This window comes from Homo sapiens, chromosome 14, assembly GCF_000001405.40.
Source record: "Homo sapiens chromosome 14, GRCh38.p14 Primary Assembly".
Taxonomy (NCBI): domain Eukaryota; kingdom Metazoa; phylum Chordata; class Mammalia; order Primates; family Hominidae; genus Homo; species Homo sapiens.
The window spans coordinates 81,073,445-81,095,538 of record NC_000014.9 but is presented as its reverse complement, the minus strand read 5'-3'; the positions used below and the strand labels follow the sequence as shown (position 1 = coordinate 81,095,538).

The 22,094-nt window shown below is 38.6% G+C and overlaps 1 protein-coding gene and 1 long non-coding RNA gene across 12 annotated transcripts in view; one reads left to right on the top strand and one right to left on the bottom strand.

Moving 5' to 3' along the window:
• TSHR (thyroid stimulating hormone receptor) overlaps positions 1 to 22,094 on the bottom strand; it is a 190,686-nt gene that overhangs the window by 50,768 nt on the left and 117,824 nt on the right. For 3 of the 4 annotated variants that reach the window (NM_000369.5, NM_001142626.3, NM_001018036.3), the window contains exons 4-6: positions 7,511 to 7,585; positions 4,396 to 4,470; positions 2,931 to 3,008 (exon numbers count right to left, since the gene is read on the bottom strand). In NM_000369.5, coding sequence (NP_000360.2) covers positions 2,931 to 3,008; positions 4,396 to 4,470; positions 7,511 to 7,585 — 228 coding nt within the window. Of the gene's footprint in view, positions 1 to 2,930; positions 3,009 to 4,395; positions 4,471 to 7,510; positions 7,635 to 22,094 lie in introns of all 4 variants that reach the window. The other variant, XM_011537119.3, reaches the window with a different exon arrangement.
• Positions 1 to 22,094, top strand: part of TSHR-AS1 (TSHR antisense RNA 1) — a 156,341-nt gene that overhangs the window by 74,868 nt on the left and 59,379 nt on the right. For 5 of the 8 annotated variants that reach the window (XR_007064288.1, XR_007064287.1, XR_007064286.1 and 2 more), the window contains 2 exons: positions 1,215 to 1,324; positions 1,802 to 12,455. This is a non-coding gene — a long non-coding RNA (TSHR antisense RNA 1). Of the gene's footprint in view, positions 1 to 1,214; positions 1,325 to 1,801; positions 12,456 to 22,094 lie in introns of those variants that run through there. The other 3 variants (XR_001751018.3, XR_007064290.1, XR_001751022.2) reach the window with 3 other exon arrangements.

Sequence of the window (22,094 nt, the reverse complement as noted above, 5' to 3'; positions counted from 1 at the left end):
GTGCAGTGGCGTGATCTCTGCTTACTGCAACCTCTGCTCCCGGGTTCAAGCAATTCTCCTGCCTCAGCCTCCTGAGTAGCTGGGATTACAGGCGCCTGCCACCAGGTCTGGCTAATTTTTGTATTTTTCAGTAGAGATGGGGGTTTCACCATGTTGGCCAGGCTGGTCTCAAACTCTTGACTTCAGGTGATCTGCCTGCCTCGGTCTCCCAAAGTGCTGGGATTACAGACGTGAGCCACTGTGCCTGGCCAACCTCAAATATAATTATTTCCACCTACCAAAAGCAGCCCCCCTTTCTGCAGGAGAAGGAGCCCCAGCCTTGGGACCTCTGGGCTATATGGGAATGCAAGAGGTTATTGGTGGTTATTGGCATGAAGATAAGAGAAGACAGCTATAACCACACTCAGGCACTGCTAGTGAGAACTCCTAGTGGCAGTTGTAAGGGAACCTTGAAAACCACAGTAATCTACCACATGTGAACCTTGGGAACACAATAAGAAGCACACAGGAAAGTTCAAATTTGGAATTAGACCTGGCTCTGCCACTTAATAGCTGGATGATCCTGAGAATTTCTCAACCTGTCTTATCCTCAGTTTATCTCTAAAAATGTGATAAATTAGTACATAAATGTAATGCCCAATCAAAAGGTTGCAGAGAGGATCAAATAACTATATATTTAACAAAGTGAGGAACACTTATTAGGTGACCATGTTAAAAGGAGCTATTCGGGAGGCTGAGGCAGGAGAATTGCTTGAACCTGGGAGGCGGAGGTTGCAGTAAGCCGAGATCGCACCATTGCACTCCAGCTCTGGGTGACAGAGTGAGACTCTGTCTCAAAAAAAAAAAAAAAAAAAAAAAATTAAAAAAATAAATAAATAAAAGGAGAATTCTAAAACTTGGATTTATCCTATATAGTTGTGGGAAACTGAGCAAGATTCTCGTGGCTTTGTTGTCATTGTTGATGTGTTTGTTTTTGTTTCATCTTAAATAATTACATAGCGAGTTTAATTCCAGCTACTAACATGTCCTGGGTGAGGATTGCAATATCCCAGGAATATAAGCACAATGGCTGAGAAAACTCTGTGGATAAGTAAATTTTTTCTAAACTAGAACTCTTTTATGAAGATGTGAGAACTGTGCATATGGCATTTTAATTTTCCTAAATTTGTTGAGAGTCCTGGACATTAAAAATACTTGTTTGAATTGCATTTCAGATATTAAACAGAATTCTTAATGAACAAATCGGCCTTGAAAAGGGAACATGGTGAAGCAAGACAAAAGAATTACAAACTTTGACTGAAACTTTCTCCTACCAGGAATACAGGTACAAAGTCGGTTGTTGGAACATGTGTCTTTTCAAGTTGATAGTTTTTTGAGCCTGAGCTTCGAAGAAGCAAGGACTTTTGCCAAAATGTAGAAATAATCATCTGAAAAGATCATGAATAATCCATGCCATCCTCTCCTCTATATTTTAGGAAATATGGGCTTCCCTCACTCAGATGTTTCTAGAAACACATGCTGGGCTCTATGCTAGGTGTGGGACAATGAGCTTTCACTTGAGGGGGGTGCTTGAGATATGGGGGTTTTAGAGAAATGGTGTCAAGGGGTAGAGGTAATATTCTATAAAGAAGTTTAGCATGTAGGAGTTTCCTTATGATGAGCACTATATGGCGCAATGGAAAGCTTTACTGAGGAAGTAAATGGCTTTGAAGTTTGGAGCTGAGCAGGCTAAGAGCCTGGGCCTTTTCTGCATGGTAAGAAGAAATTATGACTGAGAAGGAGCCTCCTTTGTCTTTTCAAGGGACCGCTCACCAGGTTGTGATGAGAAGGATCATCTGAAATGCTCCATTGCTCTCAGAAGTTGAGGTAACTTCATTGGGCCCAAACTGATAAACTAGGAATGGCTCAGAAAATAGCCCCTTAGAAGAACTGTATGAAGCTTGGATCCATTTTTCTGGTGAGTAATTTGATCAGGTTTGTATCTGATAAAGACCTCCACCCCAACTTTAGTGTGAGCAGAGAAATGAAACTGGGGTGACAATCCAGACAAAAACTTCACCAGGCTTGAACTTGGGCAGTGGTCCTGAAAATAGAGAGGAGACCCTGCAGAGGTAGCTCCAACTCTACTTTGTGACTTACACAATGAGAGAGGAACTTTCTACCAGCTTGGAGAATTAACTTATCCTTTATACCTCTATTAGATCTTCTCCTTTAGAACATTTTGTGAATATCCCTAATTAAGCATCTACTTTTGACCATCTAAAGGGCTTTGCCCCCATTCAGGCTCTGGAAAAATGCTGACCTATAGCAGCACTATGCTTTCTATGTAATATCCCCTTACAGGAGCTTAATAACAGTTTGTGATTACTGAGTAAAAGTGTGAGTGCAGAATTTATAAAGTTCTTAGTGGCACCACTTTTTTTTAACTCAGTGATCTTGGGTAAGTCACTTCAATTTGCTTAAACCCCAGTTCTTCTTCTGTAGAATGGGGACACTTGGATACAGATGATTATTCCATAAGGCCTGCAGGCCAAATCTAGTCCACTGCCTCTTTCTATAAATAAAGTTTTATTGGAACACAGACATGCTCATTAGTGTATATATTGAGTACTGCGGTTTTTGCCACACAATGCCAGAGTTGACCAGTTCCTACAGAGGTTGCATGGTCTGTAATGCCTAACTGGTTCTTCACGTGAAAAATGTACCAACCACTGCCGTAATGGAATCCTCTTGTCTTGTTACCTAAACTGTTTTGTAGTCTACAGAGTACCATCCCATAAGACAATACTATTATTTAATTGTGTAAAACACTTTGTACTCTATAGAGTATATATGATAAGGCAGTATGGCTCTTGGATGGTCTGTAAACATATGAAAATGGCTCAAAATAGAATTTAGTTGATGGAGGGAGTAGAACTGGTAATACTCACAGTGTCAAGGTTTCATTGCATAGTCCCTGAAAAGCATTCACAGGGATTGACGTCATGTAAGGGTTGTCTGTAATTTCACTGCAAGAGAGAGGGACAAAAACACTTAATGAAAAAATGCTTTCCTTCTGCAGCAGGGGTCTTGCTGCGCATATGCACTTAAATAACAGGACACAATATAGCTTAATCTTATTTCTTTTTAAGTTTCACTGACCCTTCTTAACCGCTAGTGGCTCAGAGGTCTGGTGAGGTGGTGAGAGCTGTCCTAGATGACATGCACCTGGAGCCCAAATGTGGGGTAAGTGAGAGCTTTAGGTGTGGGTGGAGGTCCCTGACTTAATCCTCATCTTGGGGTAGGCAGATGGATTTGAGAGGCTTCTCCCGAATCTGCAACACTTTGTCCACAACAACTAGAGTTTTCTACATGCATGGACCTTTAAGAAGGTCAGGATAAAAGGATTAAAGGATTTCATTTAATGAGTATTTCTAAAATGTCCTTCACTTGCCAAACTTCGCCAGGCTCCTGGAGAACCTTTCTACGCCATTCTAGTTTCTGGAAGATTGCTTACATTTTGAACTGAGCTCTTTTGCAACAAAGAAGTATGATCAATTTTTTTTTCTAGCAAAACCCCAAGAGTTTGAAGCTTATCATTCTACATTTTGCTGACTCTTTAATGCAAACTCAACTTGTAATTCTCTCTGCCTTACGTCCTTTCATTCCTATACAATTAGTAAGACAACTGACCCATGTCACCAGCTTTGAAAAAGGGCACATGGGTGCCAATCAAAGGTCACAGGCAGTAATTTGAGTACCACTTCTGACTGTTCCTTGAGACACTGCTCAGACAAAATCACTTGAGGTTTCTATTCCTCAGTTTCCTCATTCATAAATGGAAAAGCAGTAACTTTGTTTTACACCTTATAAGGTGGCTGAGAGGAGCAAATGTCATGTGTGGGAAAGTGTTTAAAAAACTATTAAAACTCTATGAAAAATAAGGTATCATAGTTATCATCAAATATTCCTTCTATTCAACCATTCCCATTGGCAAAGAAACATTGCATAATTTCTTCCATTTAAAAACAAAAACACACAAACAAAATCTTTTCTCCTGACTCAATATCTTGCAATTACTGAGCTATTTTCTGCTCCTTTTAATAGTAAAACCTCTCAAAAGAGTTAATTATGGTAACTCTTTCTAATTCTGTCTACCCAAGTCTCTCTTGAGCCCACTCCAACCAGCACTCCACTGGAACTGTTCTTGGCAGAGTCACCAACAAACCACATTGCTAAAGCCAGTGGTTATTTCTCAGTCCTTGCCTTACTTCATGCCAGTGTAGTCACACCTGATCATTGCTTACTCCTTGAAACAATTGCTTTACTTATCTTCAACCTACCCTCATGACTGTATTCTAGTTCTTGTCAGTGACAAACAAAATATTGTCAAACATGGCATGTGTGCATACTTACAGTATAAAGAATATATCAGTGGAATAAACTTTGGTCAGGTCAGGGAACATTTTAAGTCCAGTGTTGAAAATGCCACTAAATTAATGAAAAAAAGAGAAAAAAAAGCATAGAATTTAGGTAAAAAAATCAACACATAGGAAGGAGAATAATGTAATAGCTGAAAGCATGGGTTCTGAAGACAACCTGTAGTCAAACTCCCAACACCTTCCCTAAATATCTGAGTAACTATGGGCAAGTTCTGATGGTTGGATGAGATGATATTCCCTCAAGGCATAATAATTTAATCCAGTCCACTGGTGTCAATACATCTGCTCGGCTTAGAATGCTCTGGAGATTGTTTTAACCAAGTGGGTTTACTAGAAATATAAATTCAGTTTTCGTGTGTGTGTGTGTGTGATTTTCTCGTTTAATTGGAAAAAATTATGTGTTTGTTAGTGAAGGGCTAAGAAGAAGATGGGACAGGAAGATATGATGACTTTAAGCCAGCTTCCTCTTTCAAGCTCTACATGATATTATGCTGTTATTTTGCCAAGAATATCTTTCCTACAGCAGTGACCTGAGAGTACCATTATAACAGTACCATTTAAAAAAATATGTCCAGAGAGCCGGGCACAGGGGCTCACGCCTATAATCCTAACACTTTGGGAGGCCAAGGCAGGTGGATCACTTGAGTCCAGGAATTCAAGACTAGCCTAACATGGCGAAACCCTGTCTCTACTAAAAATACAAAAATTAGCTGCATGTGTTGGCATGCGCCTGTAATCCCAGCTACTTGGGAGGCTGAGGCATGAGAATCACTTGAACCTGGGAGGTGGAGGTTGCAGTGAGCCGAGATCATGCCACTGCACTCCAGCCTGGGTGACAGAGGGCGACTCTGTCTCAAAAAAAGACAGTGTCCAGAAAAGGAAGGAAACCAATCAAAGACAAAGTCTTTACCTTCTGTAGTTTATATCATCTACAGAAAAATGTTAAGATTAAAAGACATGCATAAAACACCATGAATACAAGAATTCTCAGGCTCCTGATGCCTCCCAGATTTAGTTGTTTTAACATTTGTTGCAGCTACTTGAATGTAATTAGAATTTTTTTTTTTTTGAGAATTTGGCATAGCATAGAGTGAGATCTAGACACTACTCAGTAAAGCTCTAGAGAAGGTCTTCTGGTAGAAAAACTATATCCATTGATACTCCTTCTGAGGCAAATTCAGACTTGACTCCTTCTAGAGAAGAAGGCATAGGATTTGAAGAGGCAGCAGGAGCCAGAGGTCTCAAAATCAGCAAATGGGAGGGACATTCCAGATAACAAAGGAGAGAGGTGAGATTCCATAAGGTATATTTGAAATACAGTAAACGAACTAGTTCAATTGCAATAGGTGCTCATGAAGAACAGTAGGAGGGAAAAAGGTCCAAGAGTCAAGTGGGGTCCATATACTTGGATCAAGATCTTTCTATTCTTCAAAAATCTCAAACAAGTCCCTTAAAACCATGCTGTGGGTCTTCTTTCTGATGTCTTCTCTAATTACCTGAACCCCCAAACACTGTATATGTCTCTCCTTCGTCACTTTCCATTATTCTTCTGTAGGAGAGGCACTTTTCAATTTCATACACATCTCCTCAACTAGATTACAGGCAAGGACAATGTCTTAGAAACCTGTATGTTCCCCACAGAGCATATAGTGGGGGATCATCACATCAAAGGGTTATTGTATTATTTGAAACTCAGAGTCCATAAGAAGAGTGATTGTCTTGTCCCATAAGCTTTCATGGCTTTCCAGACATCCTTTCATCTTCATATCCCATCAGTGTCTTCCATTCCCCTGGCATCTCTCACACCCACCTCTTCAATATACAACTATTGGCCAGGCACAGTGGCTCATGCCTGTAGTCCCAGCACTTTGGGAGGCTGAGGCGGGTGGATCACCTGAGGTCAGGAGTTCGACACCAGCCTGGCCAACATGGTGAAACCCCATCTCTACTAAAAATACAAAAATTAGCTGGGCATGGTGGTGCACACCTGTAATCCCAGCTACTCGGGAGGCTGAGGCAGGAGAATCGCTTGAATGCAGGAAGTGGCGGTTGCAGTGAGCCAAGATCACACCACTGCACTCCAGCCTGGGGCAACAGAGCAAGACTCTATCTCAAAAAAAAAAAAAAAAAAGCAACTATTTTTAGTTCCCCAAAGAAGCTGCGTGGTTCCCTACATTTGTGTCTTTATCATGCTATTCCATCCAGCTAAATTTCTTTTCTATCTCCCCATTCTTGTTCAAGATACCCTCTATTCATCCTTAAGGGCTTATCTCATAAAATATCTATGATAACATAAGTTTGTTTTGAAGGTCTGGATGAAGATGAACTGAAATGTTAATAGTGCTTATTTTGGGGTTTGGGATTAAGTTTTTTTTAACAATTTTCTTCTTCATACTCTTTGTTTTCTAATCTTTATAATGCATGCAAGTAGGAAAAAGGACTCTTCCACCTGGTATCCAGGGGGCCTGAGGTCATACAGACACATCCACTGAACACATTTGTACTGAGCGCCTACTCTGTACTAGGCAGTAAAGATTCAACAGAGAAAAAAAATGTTGTGGTCCCTGGATTCATGGAGCTTATGGTTAGCTCATAAGGTGTTTTCAAAGCAAAGCAGTGAGTGCTGGACATTTGAGTGCTGGAGTGGGAGGTTGAAACTGTTGTCCCTTCTGTTTTCCCTCCACTCCCCATGGAAGTGTATTTTACTCTTTGTGGGTTTTTTTTCCTGTGTAACAGCCACTCTAATAATATTGTTGTGATACCCATTTTCAAACAAAATTGACCAACTGGCTCTCAGAATTTTGTTTTGTTTTGTTCTGAAATACTACATTTAAGGACCACATATACATGATAGCATTTTCTCCCTCCTGTTTCTTGGAGCAGGTCTCTGGTTCCAGCATTATGTGCTGACTTTTGAATAGGTTTTAAAAATGTGGATCATTTCACCCGATACCTTGCCCCCGACCCAGGCTATACACCATTAAAATGAACCTGGACCACATCATCTAGGGAGATTCCTGGGAGACAACAGCATTAAATCTGACCCCCTCCCCCCAGAAAAGTAGGATGGGAGAGGATTTAATACTTACAGGAACTTTAGGAGGGGGAGCTCTTTGAGGGCATCAGGGTCTATGTAAGTTAAGTTCCTGGTATTCCGAATTTCTCTGTATAAGTTACAAGGAACACAGTCACTATAATGCATCCGTATCTGTTCTTATCAAAGACAAAACAACATAAATCAGTTTTAACAAACGTTCATGAGAAAAATATGCATTTACGCCACAGGGTACCCCAGGGGCTGTAGCTGCCAGGGGTCCCATCAATGACAAACTACTCCTGTCTCCTCACGGGGACCCAATGGCTGCTCAGCTCTTTTGCATTGTTGGCTTGGTTTCTGTCCACTTTAATTTATGGGCTACATTGTTCTTAATTGTAGTATCAGAATTTTTTTTCTTTTACATTTAGAGAAAAAAGAAAAATCCCTCCAATGATTTGGTGAGGAGTTGAAGACAAATATCTTTATTATTTATAAGTATTCTGGCCAAGACAATGAGTGTTGGAGTGGGAGGATGAGGGAATTTTATGATGAACGACAGCACAGCAAGATGGACAGTAAGGCTCTGTCATTGCCATACCAGATGTACAGAAGTGGTAAGTCTTCACAGTTCACTTGGGTTTATTTTGTCATGTCAGCAATCGAAGACACTTCTGCATGTATAGTGCAATATCGTGTGTCAGTAACTTACATACTTAGGTTTATATAAATGCTGATCAAGAATGCACAGTTAGCATTAGAGAAATAAGTAACTGCTAGAAATGAACTCTCACTGGTTAAATTAAACATATTCAACATAGGTTGATTGGCTAAAAGAGTTTAAGGCATTCCCTATGCTTACATGAAAAGTATATAAGAACCCAGTAAACCTTTAGCATTTCTCCTTAGGAGTGGCACCTAAAAGAACCAGCATCTAGTCATTGGTGGTACCAGTCAGAAAGCTTAGAATGTGACCTCTGTAATTTTTAAAGTTTTATTGAAAAAGAATTTACATTCCATAAACTTCAAACATTGTATGTAGGCATACAGTTCAATGATTTTTAGTAACATTACATGATTTTGAAACCATCATCACAGGTTAGAACATTTCTGTCAATGACAAAAGTAACCATAGGCCCATCTGCAGTTAGTCTCCACTTGCTCCTTTATGCCTAGAAACCACTGATCAGTTTTCTTTCTTTATAAATTTGCCTTATCTGGACATTTCATATAAATGGAATCATATAACAGGCAGTCTTTTGTGTCTGCCTTCTTTCATTTAGCATAATGTCTGTGAGGTTCATCCATGTTGTAACATGAATTAGTAGTTCACTCCTTTTTATTTCTGAATAGCCCAGATGGACTCGAAATAGAGTCTTGGCTCTGCCACTTCTGATTATATGACCTTGGACAAGTTTCTTGGCCTCTTTGAGCCATAGTTTTCCTGTCTGTAAAATAGGAACAATTAACAACACCTCTTTTGTGGGGCTTTTGTGAGGATTAAATAATATTCATGAGGGATTTTATGTTTGGCCTCCACATAGTTAGGGCTCTAAAATAATGCTTTTATTATTGTTATTTTCATAAGTGCAATGAAAGCTAGAAGAGACATCAGGGACTTGGGACTGGAGATGTTGTGACATTCTTGCAAAATTAGAAAAAACTCTCTGGTTTTTTCAACTAGGCATTTCAACTAAGGACACTGAATATGAAACAGACCTTGGAAAAGAGAGGATGGAGTTAACTCTGAGAACAGAAATCACCTACCTCTCTCCTCCCTAAACACACAGCTTACTGTCTATAATAATATACCCTTACTGGTCCATTGTCCTCATTAACATAACTACAATTCCAGGAGACTCTTGCCCAGGCAAATTGCTTTATTGTTCATTACAGAGAGTTTTTGAAACAAAGAACCATCAATGCTTCAACAGAAAGCATCAACAGTTTATACCCCAAGATCTTAGAACTCCTCACTTCCAAATCCTCACTATGCTAATCCTAAACTATTATGTCATGATTTTTACCTAAACAAGACCCTGCATGGAAAGATCCTCTTTATACAATCTTTCATTTTTTTGTCCTGGCTTTAAAATGCAAAGCCCATATCCTTGGAATTCCCTCTGTCTTGGGCAAAGTGTGACAGTTGGCCACCCTACTCCAAAATCTCATAATTTTCCCACCTTGCCCCTCTAGAGACTATCAATCTCTGTTGAGGTGGTTCTCTCTTTCCAGGGTGAGCAATAAACTCCTTGCCAGAGCTTTCCATTGGGGGAGGAGGGTTTGAACTACTGCCAGAGACAAACAGATGTAAACTAGATGCAGGAGTTTGGAAATTGAGCAGGGTTTGCAGTCTGGAAAATTGCTCCACAAGAGACTGTCGTTGAACGAGTAGTCCTGAGTGAGTGGTCTAAGAGAACGTCAGAGTGAAAGAAAATGCAGCCCACCTGGGTCAGCTGAAAAGGTAGAGAATAAAAGGGAAATGAAATGCAGCTGCTAGTAACAGTTGATTAAATGAGGCTGGCAACTTACATGGAGGCTGGAAGAGGAGAAATGTGGGAGAGGCAGCAAGGAGAGAGAAGGAAACATGAAGGAGGAGAAGATTTCTAGAAGGAAATGTAAGAGCTACAAAGGAGAAAGATGAATGAGAGACCCCACAAGAAAACAGCAGGGAAAAGAAGCTGCTTTCTGAGGTAAGGCAACAGCTTACCACTTGCTCACAAGTGACTTTTGAAAAGTATCTCCTGAAGCAGAGAAGGGGTGGAGTGGTCGTAGACTGCCAGTAGTTTAGCTAAATGGTGAGAGATAACAGCTGGGTGTGGTGGCGCATGCCTGTAAGCACTTTGGGAGGCCGAGACAGGTGGGAGGCCGAGGCAGGTGGATCAGTTGAGGTCAGGAGTTCAAGACCAGCCTGGGCAACGTGGTGAAACCCTGTTTTTACTAAAAATGCAAAAATTAGCCGGGTGTGGTGGCTTATGTCTGTAATTCCAGCTATTTGGGAGGCCAAGACATGAGAATCGCTTGAACGCAGGAGGCAGAGGTTGCAGTGAGCTGAGATTGTGCCACTGCACTCCATCCTGGGCGAAAAAGCAAGACTCTGTCTCAATCAATCAATCAATCATTAAATAGAGAGGTAACATAAGAAGCAAATGCAACTAGTAAAACCTATTCAAAGATAGGAAGAAAGGAAGGGCAGAAGTGAGTACAAAAGAACATCTAATCAGAGAAGGGTGAAAGAGGCGTTCAAATTTGAATGCCTTCAAGCATGCCTCTGAGGGTGAATTTGAATCACACCATTTTGAGTTAAGCAATTATGGCCTGAGTGTGCAGGAGGCTAGCTATGCTGCCAGAAAGCTGGAGACATTGGAAGAAAGAAAAGCTGTTTGTAATACAGCACACTAGGAATGGAGATGCCCTCCAGAGCTGAAGATGGCTGTGCCTCCAGCAACCTGAGGCCCTGAGTGACTGCCTGAAGGTGGCTGCTCTGTGCTCCCACTCATCCATCCAGTACTCTCCCATGAGCAAGCAGTAAACCTCACTCACTAAGGGCTGTTACATGTCTGTATTTTTGTCTATTTCTTATAGTAATTCACCTACCCAAACTAATAAGCATAAATAAAATTCCAAAAATATAGAGTACTCTGTTCATAGTGGTCACATCTAGCAGATAGGTTTAAAAAGAAGGAATGTGGAATTTTCACTTTTTATTTTATCTAAATAAAAAAAAGTAATAAAGAGGATGCAAAAAATCTCAAACTTTAAAAACAAAAAAGTAAAGCTTTATATATTCTCTATAAAAAATAACATTAAAATATGTGCCAGATATGCTGCTTAAGTATGCTGTTTTATGGAGCGAGGCTCTTTTTCTTTGTTGGGGAAATATGCAAGGCTCTTAAAGCGTATTGATTAGAAAAATTCAGCTTTGGAAGATGATATGGTCTGGCTCTGTGTCCCCACCCAAATCTCATCTTGAATTGTAACCCCAGTTGTAATCTCCATGTGTTGGGAGAGGGACCTAAATCTCATCTTGAATTGTAATCCAAATTGTAATCCCCACGTGTTGGGGGAGGGACCTCGCGGGAGGTGATTAGATCACAGGGTGCTTCCCCCATGCTGTTCTCGTGATAGTGAGTGAGTTCTCATGAGATCTGCTGGTTTTATAAGGGGATCTACCCCACTTTGCTCTGCATGTCTCTTTCCTGCTGCCATGTGAGAAAGAACCTGTTTGCTTCCCCTTCTGTCATTATTGTAAGTTTCCTGAGGCCTCCCCAGCCATGCAGAACCGTGAGTCAATGAAACCTCTTTCCTTTATAAATTACCCAGTCTCAGGTATTTCTTCACAGAAGCATGAATACAAATTAATACAGAAGATTAAAGGGTAAAAAGAAACAGTGTACTTTTTTTTCACCTGAGGGAGGGTGTGAATTTCCTCCTAGTGAGGGAGCAACATAACTGACTCGTGTGATGCAGGTAAGGATCATCCTGATTTTGCAGACAAAACTATGGAGACATGTTTTGAAAGGGCAAGTGAATAATCTCCTGTTATACACTTAGCAGCAACACTGGGCCTTTATCTAGGACTTATGACTTCAAATACAGCCTTTTTTTTTTTTTTAAATGAGGTTTCAAGGAAATCATCCAGCAGAACTAAAAATATATGTAAATATTCATTGTCTAATTCTCCTTCATTAGATTTCAAATGAAATAAACATTTAGATGAAAAGTGTAACATTGCTGTCCAATGGCAGTTTTCACAAATCAACAGATCAATAATTCAGCATGCAGTTAGGTTCACTTAATCACATGTCTACATTCTGGGTTTTTTTTCTTCCCCTAAGAAACATTGATTAATTCTCAATAAAAGCGTAGCACAGGACATCTGGCTTTCCCGTTACGACTAGCATTGCAGCAGGCACTCAGTCCCTGAGTCCACACCTCAAAGAGTATATGGGAAATCAGCAGGATGAGAGAAGGGAGTTCTCAGGCGAGGGAATGAGGAACAGAAGAAGGGGAAAACACTTAAAATCTTCTGTTAAGGAAGACTTTTTTTTTTTCCAACCACTAATTTCCTTCCATTTTCCTAGTGTCCCCCTTCCTACCTCAATTATTCAACGGGCATTGGATCGTGGCATTTGACTGTGCTTCTCACCCTTGGAGATATTTCCCCACACCCTAAACTGCCCCAGTTAATGAGTGAGAAGCATGCCAAGCCAGGAAACAATTTGAGGGCAATCAAAAAGCCGACTTTGCATTTCATCTGCAAAATTAGATGGGGATGAGAACACTTCAGACCAGCATAAACCAAGAAGACTCAGTTAGATGATGTCAGAAGAGAAGCTGCCACAGCCAATTTATTGTTACCCAAAACAATAAATTGAACAAGAATATTAGCCAAAAGCCTAGCTCTCCACCAGTCCCCAGCTTCTTTTTAACTCTTGTTTCAATTTGATTTTCAATTTTTTTCCCGTTTACTTTTAAATGCCCGTGTTGTGGGATCAGGAGGACCAGAGAGAGACCTTGGGGTGTATACAGGACGATATCTTTATTATTGAGTGCACTCGGACTTAGCAGACTCAATGTCCAAAGACTGGGCCTAGAACAAAGACAGCACTTGACTTTTATACACATTTCACAAAAGGGGGTGGGCTAGCTTGAAGCAAGTTTACAGTGGTGTGAAAGCAGGGATACAGAGGCAGGACAAACTCAGGATTGCACATGACCGTTGCCAAGCAACCTAGATGTTCATTATCTAGGTTTTGCTCTAAAGAGCCTTGCACTGGTTTATCTCATAACCTTCACTATGGTGCCCAGGCAGCTGTAGTTCAGGCCTACTCAGGCTTCTTATGACTTTCTTTGTACTTCTTAGATAAAACAGAATACTTGAAGTCACTAGTGACAGAGAACAAGTATCTATAAACTTATTCCATAAAACAAAGGAAAATTTGTTTTTCTTCTCCCTATGTTGAGGGAGTGCTGGGAGAGTCTCCAGAGCACATTAAATAGTATTATCAAGACTTTTCCTGGGTCTGGGCTGTGCCTGTTGCTGCCTCTGGGACAAGTCAGCTTAATATAGGAAAGCTTATTTCTCTTTCTTTTTAATTTTATTTTTCTTTAATTTCCCACCTCACCTATAGTTCAAAAAAATGGAAGGCAGTCACCTTGATTTTGACTAGGTTTGCTCACTCAAGTGGTTAGAGTGGGAAGAGATTAATTAGAATATAAGTGAATAATTACTGGACATCTATTAGGTGCACTTTGCTGCATACTCTGGGTGGTATAAGGAAATAGTTACTATTTATTTTAAAAATAAGATGTGTATATATTGCCCAAGCCATCATTTTGTTACTATAAATTTTTTAAGTGCTATACAATCCCTAGGTGAAACCTGAGACTAATAAATAGGTAAATTAATTTTAAGGTAACATTTTAGGACAGGGTTCTATCACATAATACATTACTGATGTATCTTGACATCAAGTATTAATTTCAAGTTTAATGCACAGTGATCTTTAAAAAGTTAATTTCATCTGACTATAGAGGTAATACATATTTATTGTAAAAAACTTTGAAACACATTCATACAAAAAGGAAATGAACTTTCTGACAGCTGACCATCCTCCTGGAGGGTGGTGTGCCAAGGGAGGGGGCGGAAGCTCTGCGCCCCTCCCCCATACTTCACTCTATGCAATCTTCATCTCTATCTTTTGTAATATCCTTTATAATAAGCTGGTAAATGTAAAAAAAAACTCTCATCATTTGATAATACAGAGAAAAACTATTTTGTTCTGTTAAGTATATATATATACATACATACATACATATATATTTTAAATAACATAATGACAAAAGCTTTTCTTATGTGATTAAATTGTCTATAGCAACAGATTTTCTCTTTATAAGTCAGGGTCATGCTATGCTGCCCAGGCTGGAGTGCAGTGGCTATTCACAGGCAGGGTCATAGTGCACTACAGCCTCAAATCCCTGACCTCAACCAATCCTCCCACCTCAGTCTCCAAGTAGCTGTGACTAAAGGTTCGTGCCTCTGCGCCTGGCTTAGTATTTCATATTTGACCATTCTCTTAGCTAAGCATTTAAGTCCTTTCCAAATTCTCTCTAATATAAATAATTAACTCCGAAACAAATGGCTTTTTACATTAACTTTTTTTCACTACTCTATTTTCTTAGGGAAAATTTATAGAAGTGGAATTACTGGGTCAAAAGTTAAAAGTCTGTCAAAGCTCTTGGTATAGATTAGACCTTAGTTTCTAAAGCCTTGACTGTTAGACTAGCACTTACTTTTCATATTAATCTATAATATGAAAGTTCACAGAATAAATTATTTCCTACATTATCGAGGATTTTCAATGAGAGAAGTCTTAATTCTTTGATAATTATTAATGAATTATTATTAACATTCCATATGTAACTGGAGGAAAGAAATAATCTATAACCAAAAGGCAATATTCATGATTTGATGTATCTTTTAATGTATTGAGAAATTAAAAATAAGAGATATTGAGGAGAGTTTATAAGTATTCAGATTTTTAAAGCACATTGAAGAAAATTTAAATTTATCAGCAGATTTTCCACTAAAAATAGAACATTATAGAAGTGATTCTCTAAATTGCCTGGCAGGTGCATACAGCTACTTTCATGATTATTTAAGGATTGGTGCTAAAGCTGGTGATTTTGAAACCTCTGATGCATCCACTTGATTCAACTTAGTGGATCAGCAAAATATAGTCTTATTGTACTATAAGGCATAAGTCACACATTTCACCTATCCCAGTTGTAAAATTTTTCACTTATTTTTGATTTAAAAAACTCACATAGGCCAGGTGCGGTGGCTCACACCTGTAATCCCAGGACTTTGGGAGGCTGAGGCAGGAGGATCACGAGGTCAAGAGATTGAGACCATCCTGGCTAACATGGTGAAACCCCTTCTCTACTAAAAATACAAAAAATTAGCTGGGCATGGTGGCACACGCCTGTAGTCCTAGCTACTTGGGAGTCTGAGGCAGGAGAATCCCTTGAACCCAGGAGGCGGAGGTTGCAGTGAGCTGAGATTGCACCACTGCACTCCAGCCTGGGCGACAGAGCAAGACTCCGTCTCAAAAACAAACAAACAAACAAACAAACAAACAAAACCCAAAAACTCACATAAAAGTAAAAACATTCTTCTGAGGGCAGCACTTCTTTTTCTTTGCTTTTTTTTTTTTTTTTCTTTTGAGCTAGGGGTCTCATTCTGTTGCCCAGGCTGGAGTGTGTAGCACGATCATGACTCACTACAGCCTCAACCTTGTAGGCTCAAGTGATCCTCCCGCCTCAACTTCCTGAGAAGCTGGGACTATAGGCAAGTGCCATTGTGCCCAGCTAATTTTAAAAAATATTTTTCATAGAGATGATGTCTCACTCTGCCGCCCAGGCTGGTCTCAAACTCCTGGGCTCAAGCCATCCTTCTGCCTCAGTCTCCCAAAATGCTGGGATTATAGGTGTGGGCCACCACGCCTGGCCAGCATTTTCTTTAATTATTGCAGATATTTTAATTAAAGAGATTTTATGGCATTGCAGTGGTTTTGGAGGCAGACACTTTTGGGTTCAAATTCTCACTTTGAAATGTCTTAGCTAAGAAAACTTTGGCAAGAGCTCTGCAAGGTATGTATTACCATCTTCATTTGACATAGCAGAAACTAACGCTTGGTAAAAACTAGTGAGATAGTGTATGTGAAGTACTTTTAGTGGAGTGCTGGCCCACAAAAGGCATTCAGAACTTGGTCACTATTATTATTAGGAGTAACAACAGCAGCAATCTGTATGTTATTGACTTTCTTATAGAGAAAGTACAATAGAAAATGGAAGTGTCCAGTGTTTCATCATTTTGCAGATATAAATCTTTATTACATGCATACTTTTCGGTCCAAACAGTATCCTCGCTGAAGTTACTACCCAGGGGAAATGATTTGTATCCACTTAGGATCCTGAATAACTCACAGAGAACCTACCATTCTTGTATTTTTTTCTTACAAATCCTCAATGCCTTTACCCATTGTTAACTGACATATAATTGCTACTTCCTCTGGCTACCTATTGTTGCATAACAAATTACCCCAGATTAAGTGGTTAAAATAACATTTTATTATAGCTCACAATTTTGTGGATCAGGATGCCAGACAGTGCTGAGCTGGGTGATTTTCTGCTCTCTGTAGCCTCCACCAGGATCACTGGGTGTTATTCAGCTGGTGTCTGGAACAATTTGGAGGGTCCAAAAGGGTGTGCTTACATGCCTGGCTTTTTGATGGGAATTGCTAGAAGGTTAGGCTCAGCTAGGCTTTTCTCCATCCCAGGATCTCAGGATCTTCCCACACGGTCTCTCCATCAGTGCAGTTGGACGTCTTACATGGTTGTTCAGGGTTCCAAGGATATAAAGTAAAAGCTGCCAGTTCTTTTAAAGACTGGGACTAGAACTGGCATTGTATCACTTCTAACATACTCTATTGAAATAGTAGACAAAAATGTCCAAATTTAACAAAACCAGCAACCCATAAATCCACGAAGTTCGGCAAACCTTAAGCAGATTAAATATAAAAAAACTCACCTAGGCATATTATGATTAAACAGTTGAAAAGCAAAGATATAGAAAAAGTTTTACAAGTAACCAGAGGGGAAAAAACACATTACTTACAGGAGAATAATAACACGGATACGACTACTCCTCAGAAAAAAAGAAGGCCAGAAGACATTGAAGGATATTTTCAAAAGGCTGAAACAAAAATGGCTTTGCTACAATTCTATACTCAGCAAAAGTGTTTTTCAAATATTAAGGTAAAATATATTTTCAGTAAATAAAACCTCAGAAAATTTGCTGCCAGTAGAACCACAGTGAAATACTAAAAGTTTTTTGGGCTAAAGGGAAATAATTGGACCTACAGAAGGGCATGGACACTGGAAATATTAAATATGTTGAACGTATATAAATGACTATTTTTTTCTTTACTCAAATTATGTAAAAGTTAATTGAATCTTTAAAGTTAACATAATAATGTATTATGAGGTTTATAACATATATAGGAATAAAATATATGACAACAATAGCATGAAAGATGGAAGAAGGTAAATGGAATTTTAATTTCAAAAGGTTCTTACATGATATGTGGAGTAACATAATATTATTTCTAAGTAGACTGTGATAAGTTAAGGATGCATGTCATAATTTCTTGAGTAATCACAAAAAATTTGCAAAGGACTAAAAAGCCAATGGAATAGAACACTAATAAACAAAAGCAAAAACAACTAGATTAATCCAAAAGAAGACAAGGAGAAATAAAGGAACAAAGAACAGAGAAGACAAAGCAAATAGGAAAATGGTAGACTGAAATCCAACCATATCAATAATTACAATAAATGTCATGGATTAAACACTCCAACTAAAAGGCTGAGATTTTCAGGCTGGATATAAAAGCAAGATCCAATTCTGTGATGTTTACATGAAATGCATTTTAAATATAAAGATGTAGTTATTGAATCTCAGTTGCTTTGGCTGTAAAATGATAGTAACTACTTTAGAGAATTGTCGTGAGGATTAAATGAGTATATATGTGTTGAGCAATTAGTGTAGTGCTTGGGATATGGTAAATGCTCAATTAAGGTTGGCTAAACATATATGTATGAATATGTGTGTGTACACACATATACTAAACATTCTGTCAATCAGATTTTTCATGAATTCAGACTAGCCTACTCTTCCAATCCATTATTTTTAAAATGCATGTTCAGAATACATTGTTTCATTTTTTGTTTTAGTTTGATTTCCTCACAGCTTGGTGTAAGTGAATGGCACACAAAGCATCCTGCCTTCCAGAGACCTATTATTATCAAACATCTGCATTGTCATACTAAATTTTAGTAAGTTCTAAACCAAAAAGCATTCAAGGATAGATTCAAATGGGGATCTAACTTAGATGCAGAAGTGGGCTGAATGGTATGTGTCTCTGTGTAGGTCATAATTAGGCTGAAAAAATAATCAGTAGAGTTAACTAGGCAAAGAGAGAGAGAGAGAGAAATAAATGTCTAGGCAGAGGCAAAAGCATGTGAATACCCTGAGGTGAGAAAGATATTGGACTGTTCAAAAAACCAAAGAACACAGGTGTGCAGGAGTGAAGCATGATGAGAACGCAGAGGTGGGCAGGAACCAGCTGAACTTGTGGGCCTGGCTGTTTATGTTAAGATACTTGGATTTTATTCAAGAAAAATCATTCTGGCTGCTGTGAAGATACTGAATTAGAGGAAATCAATTGGGAATACCAGTTAAGATATAAAATTATCATAGTTCAAACAAGAGATGATGGTGGCTTAAATAAGGGTGGTGGCAGTGGAGAGGAAGAGGATACATTTTCTGTATATTAGGGTAGTAGAATCAACAGGACATGGTGAAGGAGTAGAAGTGGGTGATGAGGAAAGAAGGTATAGTGATACATCTCAGGTATTTGGGATTTGCATCAGGATGAAGGAAGTTGGCATTTATTGGCTCAACATACACAGGAGTAGTAGATTTCAGGACGACAATCAAGATGTCAGTTTTGGATATAAAACGTGAGATATGTGTAAGATGTCTGGGAAGAGAGGTCAAGTAGACCAATAGGTATATACCAACACTAAGAATGAGGGCCTGAACTAGATATATAAATTTGGGAATTGTTAGATAAGATCACATAGCAGGAGAAGTTAGAGTGAAAAGAGAAGACTACACAGGATTGGGCCATATGAAAGCCCAATAATTATAGCTGGGGAAGGGGAAGCAGCCAGCAAAAGATGATAGGAAAGACTGACCAGCATGATAGGAGTCCAACCAGGATTGTGATATCACAGAGGCCAAGGGAAGAGGTATGAATAAGAACAGAATGATCTACTATTTTGAATCTTGCATATAGCCTTTTAAGATGCAATGGTCTTCAGAGTGTGATGTTCCCCTTCCTGTGTCCATGTGATCTCCTTGTTCAATTCCCACCTATGAGTGAGAATATGCGGTGTTTGGTTTTTTGTTCTTGCGATAGTTTACTGAGAATGATGATTTCCAATTTCATCCATGTCCCTACAAAGGACATGAACTCATCATTTTTTATGGCTGCATAGTATCCCATGGTGTATATGTGCCACATTTTCTTAATCCAGTCTATCATTGTTGGACATTTGGGTTGGTTCCAAGTCTTTGCTATTGTGAATAATGTCACAATAAACATACGTGTGCATGTGTCTTTATAGCAGCATGATTTATAGTCCTTTGGGTATATACTCAGTAATGGGATGGCTGGGTCAAATGGTATTTCTAGTTCTAGATCCCTGAGGAATCGCCACACTGACTTCCACAATGGTTGAACTAGTTTACAGTCCCACCAACAGTGTAAAAGTGTTCCTATTTCTCCACATTGTGGGGTGGGGGGAGGGGGGAGGGATAGCATTGGGAGATATACCTAATGCTAGATGACGAGTTAGTGGGTGCAGCACACCAGCATGGCACATGTATACATATGTAACTAACCTGCACAATGTGCACATGTACCCTAAAACTTAAAGTATAATAATAAAAGAAAAAAAAAGATGCCATGGTCACAGGTTTAACTGTGTTAAACATACTGTATTTATTGAATGAATAGCTTTTTGTTTTGGGAATGACAATTCTAGGTCACAGACCCAATGTCAGTACTGTTAAGATGAAAATGTTACATAAATTTAACAGTTTAATTGAGCAAAGAATAATTCATTAATTGGGCAGCCCCCTAACCAGAATAGGTTCAGAGAGACTTTGGTGCTGCTGTGTGATAGAGAATTTCTGGAGCTGGGAGGGATGCAAACAAGGTGATATACAGAAAACAGAAGTGAGGTATAGAAGCAGCTAGATTGGTTATAGCTTAGCTTTTGCCTTATTTGAACACTGTTTGAACAATTGGTCGCCTGTGACTGGCTGAAACTCGGTGATTGGTAAAAAAGTAAATTATGGTCTGTGGTCTGTTCACATATCCAGTTAGGTTATAGTTCACTGCATACAGAGAGGCCTTTAGGCCAAATTTACAAGGAGGCAGCTTTAGGCTAAAGAGTGCTTATGTTCTAATACTCTAATTCATATCACAGAACAAAATCTAAACATGAATTGGGAAGCCATCTCAGAGAATGTATATAGAGCTCTGTAAGACTGGACAGGTACTGGCAGGGATAATTAGAAGTGGCAATGGTAAACTAACTGCTCATCTTTCTATTTACCAAATCACAGGACCAAAAAAAGTCAGTTTTGAAGGGCAGCTTAGAAAGAAAACACACTTATGAAATGGAATAACATTATGTTATTTTACTGCTGTAGTCCTCATTGGAGCTTTTCAATAAATGCTGGCAATATGCATTGGCATTTGAAATGTGTATTCATAAGTTTAGTATCTACATATCTATCCTTGCAGCAAATCCAACACAATAAAGAGCTCTCTTTCCTAAACAAATCAGAGGGCTTTAATTCTATACTGAGGAATCCCAGGAACGTTTGGTTGATGGTACTTATATGGTATATAAATTAAACAAATCATTCTATATCGATACTCAGTTTCATGCCTTATACCCACAAAACCATTCTCAATTCCTTGAGCAAAGATGAGTGATCTTTCAGCTCTATATTTCTCATGCAAGTTATAATGCTTTGATTATAGTCGCTGCTTAATAAATGATTATAAAACAAATGTATTAAACATTTGGGTGGCATGCATGCAAAAATCTTCACTAATCTTTTCTGCTGACCAAAACCATTTGCAGACAATAATGTCAGATACATATTAGAAACATTTGAAGAATACAAGGTGCATTATCCTTTAAATCTTTAAGATATTAGACTCTCAATATCTCAAGTATATAAGCAAATTATCTTTTAATAATTTATTTTTAAACTCATTCTCTTTTTAATTACTGTATTTAATAGTTTCCTTCGGTTTAGGAAGTTAACACTTTTGCTCAGAGTAGAGAATTGAATGTTTACTTAAAAAAACTTATAAATAACAACTGGAATCTTTGTGAGGAAAAAGATCATAATACAAACAAAATGACTGCTTTTAAGATCAATGGGGTTTATATAGGACTTCACTACAAATTAATTGCTTTTATTTTTGGTGAAGGGGCAAAGAAGCAAAATGGTTTGATAAATGGATATGAGATTTGGAGTCAGAAGATTTGGTTTTCAATTTTGAAGACTGTTGTTGTCTTTACTGTACTGGATCCTCAGCCTTCCTGGGCCTCAGTGTTATTTTACTTTCTTTGGTTTTAATGTACTGCTCTATTATATAAACTTCTTATGAAGGATACATAAATGATTTATTTTTAACCTTCTTTTCTAATATATGTTGTCTTAAGGCTATATGTTTTCTTCTAAGTATGACTTTGACTACATCCCACAGGTTTTGATATGTCATATTTTTATTATCATTTAGTTAAAATTATTTTCTAATGTTTATTATGATTTCTTCCTTAATCCTATGGTTAATTAGAAATCAGAGTTATTTAGAAGTTAGGTTATTTACTAGTTAGAGAACATGGTGATTTTAATTTTTTTGGTAATCTATTGAGACTTGCTTTTATGGCCCCACATGTGGTCAATTTTAGTAAATGTT